Below are 6,653 nucleotides of genomic sequence, written 5' to 3' on the forward strand. Positions count from 1 at the left end.
ATTTTTTTATTTCTTTAAGTTGGTATTCACCTTTCTCTGGTGCTTTTTGAGTAGTTTAATAGATTTTCTGAATTCTTTTTCTGAAAATTCAGGGAGTTCTTCTTGGTTTGAATCCATTGCTGGTGAGCTAGTGTAATATTTTCTATGTGTTACAGAACCTTGCTTTGTCATATTACCATAATTGCTTTTCTGGTTCCTTCTCATTTGGATAGAGTATGTCAGAGGGAAGATCTGGGGCTCAAGGGCTATTGTTCAGATTCCTTTGTCACATGGGGTGCTCCCTTGATGTAATGCTCTCCCCCTTCCCCTAAGGATGGGGTTTCCTAAAATCTGAACTGCAGTGATCGTTATTTCTCTTCTGGGTCTAGCCACTCAGGCAGGCTAAAGGACTTCTTGTGGGTACTGGGGAGTGCCTGCAGAGTCCTGCGATGTGATGCTTCTTCAGGTCTCTCAGCCATGGATACCAGTACCTGCTGCAGTTGAGGTAGCAGGGGAGTGAAGTGGACTCTGTGGAGGTCCTTGGTTTTATGTTTACTTAGTGAGCTAGTTTTGTGTTGGTTGGCCTCCAGCCAGGAGGTGGTGCTTTCAAGAGAGCATCAGCTATGGTAATGTAGAGAGGACACAAGCTTGCCCTAAGATCACCTGGATAAGTATTCTGGTTTCTCAGGCAGTGGACAGTGCCATAGAGCTCCCAAGAGATTATGTCCTTTATTTCCAGCTACCAGGATGAGTAGAGAAAGACCATCAGATGGGGGCAGAGTTAGGCATGTTTGAGCTCAGACTCTCCTTTGGTGGGGCTTGCTGTGGATGCTGTGAGGGATGGGGGTGTGGTTCTGAGGCCAAGGGAGTTATGTTCCCAGGGACCCATGGCTGCTTCTGCTGCTTCATGCAGGTCACCAGGGAAATGGGGGAAAGCCACCAATTATAGGCCTCACCCGTCTACCATGCAGCCCAAAAGGCTAGTTTCACTGCCATCGTGTCCCCACAGCAGCACCTAGTTTATTTCCAGGCAGCCAGTGAGCAGGACTGAAAACTTGCCCCAGGATACAAGCCTCCCCTCTGAGAAAGCAAGCAGGGCTTTCAGGTTTCATGCCTCCCTGCCTGCTGCAGTTTCTGTGCTTGTGTCTGCACTCCCTGTTTACTTCCTCCCCTGGATTCTGTCTAGAAAACTTTATGTTTGGTCGAAGTTGTTACAAACTTTAGCTGGAAGTTTTCTTCTCCCTGTGGTCTTTCCTCAATTTCACTGGCTGGAAGCCCTCTCTAAGGAACCCTGTGAGACAAAGTCAGGAATGGCTTCCCTTGGGATTGAAAGTGCCCACAGGGCTCTTCCTGTGCTTCCTCTACCCCCATATTTCACTTGGCTCTCTAAATTTATCTCAGCTTCAGGCAAGGCCAAATACTTCTCCTGTGATCTGGATATTCAGGTTCCCCAGTGAGGATGTGTGCTGGGGGGTGGACATTCCCCCTCACACTTTGCACACTCACAGTTTTTCAGAGGTCTCACAGAGCCTGCAGTGGCAAGCTGCTTCCTTTGAAAGGTCTGTGATTCTCTTGGCTTTTCTGGCATGATCCTGTGGTAGTTCTTGGAGCAAAAGTTCATGATGTGAATCCCCATATGCTGCTCTGTCCATCCCAGTGGGAGAGCAAGTTAGTCCTATTTCCTATCCACCATTTTTCCAGAGAAGGTTCTAGTGGCCATTCTTGCACTCCTAGAAAGAAATACCTGGTATCAGATAATTTATAAAGAAAAGAGGTTTAGTTGGCTCACAGTTCTGCATGCTGTACAGGAAGCGTAGCGGCATCTGCTTCTGGGGAAGTTTCAGGAAGCTTCCAATCATGGTGGAAGGCAGAGTGGGAGCAGGCATGTCACATGGGGAGAAAGAGAGATAGCAAGATGCCATAGACTTTAAAACAGTCAGACCTCATGATAAGTTAACACTATCGCAAGAACAGCACCAAAAGGATGGTGGTAAACTATTCATGAGAAATCCACACCCATGATTTGATCATTTCCCACCAGGCCCAACCTCCAATACTGGAGATTACAATGAGATTTGAGTGAGAACACATATCCAAACTATATCACCCTATCTCTACGAAAAATGTCTTAAATAAAAATAAAATAAAATAAGATTCTTTAAAAAGGCTATTTGACACTGGATTGTTTTGCTTACTTATACGTATATATAGTTCTAAATAAAAAACAAAATTCGATGTATATTTTTTAAAGTACACATAAGTCTTTTCCAAAAAGCTAAGGTGTATACTTTCCTTCCTTTTTTTTTTTTTTTTTTTTGAGGCAGAGTTTTACTCCATCACCCAGGCTAGATAACAGTGGCAAGATCACAGCTCACTGCAGCCTTGATGTCCCAAGCTCAGGTGATCCTCAACCTTCCTGGTATCTGGGGTTACAAAAGTGTAATAATTTTTGGAGGTTTTTTTTTTTTTTTTTTTTTTTTTTTTTTTGTAGAGGTGGAATTTCACCTTGTTGCCCAGACTGGTCTCAGACTCCTGGGCTCAAGCAATCCACCCTTCTTGGCCTCCTTAAGTGCTGGGATTACAGACGTGAGCCACTGTACCCAGCACATTTAAATGTTTTTTGTTGTTAATTTTTGAAAATTTTACTTTTCTGGACAACATATTTTGGCTCATTTGCTAAAGTATAATAATTTCTCAACAGAATATTTTACAGAATCTATGTCAATTAAATGCCATTTTGGTCTGAGTTGTAGTATATAAAATCATTTTTATAGTCTGACATGATTAATTTCACATTTACTAATTATCCTTTCCTCTTTCTGCATCCTCCATCTGCATCTTTCTTGCTACATCTTCCTATCCCTGTGTCTCTCTTATCACCCTCTTTTATAGCACAACATACACACATATTTTTATGGCATTTGAAAACTAAGTTAAAGTCCTATGTTAATATTATTATATATTATAAAAAGAGTTTTCTTTGTTAAAAAAGTATCAAAACTGATTAACACTAATAGATTCTATTCATAAAAATATCCCTTATGTGTTGGAAGGCAGATTCATGTTTTTTTTTATTGCTGCATAACAAATTGTCTCAAACTTAGCAGCTTATAGCATTATCTCCTCATTTCCATGGGTCAGGAGTAGAGGCACAGCTTAGCTTGGCCTTCTTCTCAGAGTCTCACAAGGTTGCAATAAAAATGAAAGCCAACATGTATGCTCATCTGAAGGCTCAACTGAGGAAGAATGAACTTCCTCCCTCATTTGGGTTATTAGTAGAAGGTAGCATGATGCAATTTAGGGCCCTGTCTTTACTGGTTGCCATATGGGGACCACTCTCAGGTCCAAGAATTGCCCATGATTAGTAGACTCCACTGAAATTACTTGTTATGTGGGCTTCTTCAACATAACCATAAATTCATTAAGCCCACAAGGGAAGACTTTGTTTCTAGTCTGCTAAGACAGGATCTTATAAAATACAGTGTAATCACAGGAGTGACATGTTATCACCTTTCCCATGTTCTCTCAGTCAGAATTAAGATACAAGTCTCTCCCATGCCCAAGGGGAGTTTATTAGTCAATGCTCTCCAGAGAAATAGAACCAATAAAACAGACACGAGATTTACCTTAAGGATTAGCTCAAAAAATGGTGTGGGTTTCTAAACCTGAAACCCATAGGTAGTTTGGTGAGCTGGAAACTCAGGCAGAAGTTGAAGCTTCAGTTTTGAAGTAGAATTTTTTTCTTCTCTGAGACATCTCAGCTTTTTGTTCTCAACACATTCAGCTGATTGAACAAAACCAACCCATGCTGTCCACAGTAATCTCCTTTACTCAAAGGCAACTTATTATAAACATTAATCACATCTACAAAATACGTTTATGGCATATCTAGATTGATGTTTGGTTAAGTAATGGGGCACTATATCCTAGACACATATATTTAATCATTCACAGGGAGGGAATTACAAGAAGCAGTGAACACTAGGACAAGGAGATCACTGGGATCTCCTTGGAGCTTTCCCACCATGGAAGGTATTTAGTTTTTTTATTTAATTTATTTTTAATTTTTTTTGGTGGTTGTCTCTAATATTTATTTGCCAGGTTATAAAATTAATACGTGAAGAGCATTGGATTTGGTGAGAACGTTTTGAACCCTAGCTGTCACATGTCATCTACAGGATCTAGACCGTGATTTCTCAGAACTGCCATTTCCTCATCTGGTAGACGGGATGGTGAGCACGGTCTTGCTCACTCCACATATGGCAGTGCATATGAAATGAGTTCACAGAGGGGAAGCACTTGGCACGCTGGAAGGTGCTGACAAATGGAAGGGGTTAGTGTCACCACCCTCAGCTGAGGTAGTACCAAGGTCCAAGCTCCTGCCCCTCCCCCTCCCCCTCCCCAGCCCCTAAATACAACACGAATGGAGGGCCACTTGCAGCCTTGGTTTGATGCAGTTGGGGGAGAGGCCACACACTTCTTCCACAAGCCTGGCCAGATGGGGCCTCACTGGGGCCCTTTCAGAATTGGGCATCGGCTGTTGCCAGCTGTGTTAGGATGTCCTCCAACTCGAGTCCATCCTCTGGGAAATGCTCAGAGAAGGATCTGATGAGGCCAGCAGCTGAGACCTCGTATTCCAGAAGCTGCACGTCTGAGCCTTCAAGGCGAATGTTGGGCTGAACGATGAGCTTCCAAGATTCCTTACGCAGCAGCACCCTGTCCCTGAGGGTGAGAAAGCCCTCAGGGGGCGCATCAGCGACTGCTGCATACCTCTCGTACAGGGTCCACCCTCCGGCCACATCCCCTGTGGACCAGCACCTCCGCAGGAAGCGCTCTAGGGCAGGGTTGCCCACAGACTGGATCTTGCTGCGGTCGAGACGGACCTGGGCTTCCGGGCGCCCATCGGAGCCTGCGGTGGGAGTGATGGTACCGAGTCCCTCGCCAGCCTCTGGTAAGACTCTCAGGATCACAATCCGGGCCCGTATATGGGCCTGCTGCCAGTTGGAGGCCTCAGGTGTGTAGAACTCCAGAGCGAGCAGCCCAGCCCCAACCATGTTGAGCCAGTTCACGGAGATCACCTCCTCTGCATCAGCCCCCTCAAAGCCAAAGGTCTCCAGCACTTGCGGGTGGAGACAGAGGTAGAGGCCCACGCTCTCAGCCCGGCACTCTTCGTAGCTGGAGACAATGGTGCTGAACTTGCTGTCCCAGGTCTTCATGCTCCGATACCAGCTCTGAATCTGCTCTCTCATCTCTGGATTGATGGGTCTCCTGGTCAAAGTTGAATGCTCCTTTTTCATCCTGCTCGATGAGCTTGCCGCTGCCATAGCCCAGCAGTTCGTGCAGGCCCACCTGTACATCGAAGGAGGGCCCCATCAGGACGATGTACAAGTCCTTGTCACTCTCCTCCAGAACGGTGAGCTTCTCCCACTGCGTGGCTTAGACCACAGCCAGGACGTTCCCCAGTGACACGTTCTTAAAGCCTTCCGTCTGCTTCAGGTCATTGTAGTTGGAGATGTTGATGCCGGCAGCGATGCCAGAGCCAGCGAAGGTAAGAACATCCACGGAGGTGAAGTCAGGGGTGAGGAACTTGTCTTTCTCAAAGGCTGGGGACCAGGGCAACTCCTTCAGCAGCTGCTCTGCGCTCACCACCAGCCACTCAAACTTGGCACTCATGGCCTTGTTCACCACGGCTACGAAGCCTTCACATACTCCTCGGGAACCAAAGGAGTCACGGTAGCTCTGGATGAACTCGATGTAACTCTCCACGATGGGGCCTTTGTCCTAGATCCAGAAGCGGGACCCCTTCTTGTGGGCCTCTGTGGAGCCCTGGGTGAAGCTCTCTATGTACTGGGCCAGCATTTGCTCCTGGTGGCTGTTGGCTGCATACGTCTTGGCTTTCTCCAGCTGCTCCACCACCTTCTGGAGGATGGGCATGTAGTTCCCCCAAGTCACCTGGAAAGGGCTTCCCCGGAATTCCTAGCTCTTCAGCTTGGAATCACCTCGGAGTCCAGGGAAGGCTCTGTGCCGAGCACAGAAGCCAGCTGCACCTCGTAGTGGGGCTTCCCTTCTCCATCGACCTCTTTGAAGAGCCAGGTGTTGTACACGCACTGAGGTTCTGTGAGTCCAGAAAGTCTTGGGCCAGTTTGCCATCTTCCATGGTACAATTACCAAAGAAATAGGTGGTGATTCACTGTTAGGGAAGAGAGGGGACATGGGAAAGAGGAGTTGCTGAGGTCAGGGCTGCAGGGACGTCATCTTCCCAGCCTCCTTTTTTTTTGTCAGATAAGTAATGTATAGATATAATGTCCACTGACGGACAACATTTTTTCTCAGTCAATTTCTACAAAAAAATTAGGATGTACTTCTTTTAAATAATGAACTGGTAATTCTGAGGATAAACAAGAAATCCATGAATAAGCTCTTTTTTTAATTATTATTTTAACAAGCAGATCTCGAATCAGAATGTTAGAAGTAGTCTACCTCCACACCACCATCTCTCATACCAATGAGCAAAAGCACAAAAGTAACAGAAGAAGATTATTTCATGTGACATCTATTTCCCAAAGAATTTTTTCTGTCTATTTTCTTTCTCTCTATATATATTTTTACTTCTGAGAATAATTTGGGTGTGTTTACATTTGTGTGTATAGACCAGTGTCCTTATGACAGAAAAG

General features: G+C 45.4%; 1 pseudogene; it reads right to left on the reverse strand.

Annotated features, from left to right (window-relative positions):
* Positions 1 to 4,267: 4,267 nt before the first annotated feature.
* Positions 4,268 to 6,171, reverse strand: DPP3P2 (DPP3 pseudogene 2; annotated as a pseudogene).

The sequence above is a fragment of the Homo sapiens genome, chromosome 9 (assembly GCF_000001405.40).
Source record: "Homo sapiens chromosome 9, GRCh38.p14 Primary Assembly".
NCBI classification, from domain to species: Eukaryota; Metazoa; Chordata; class Mammalia; order Primates; family Hominidae; genus Homo; species Homo sapiens.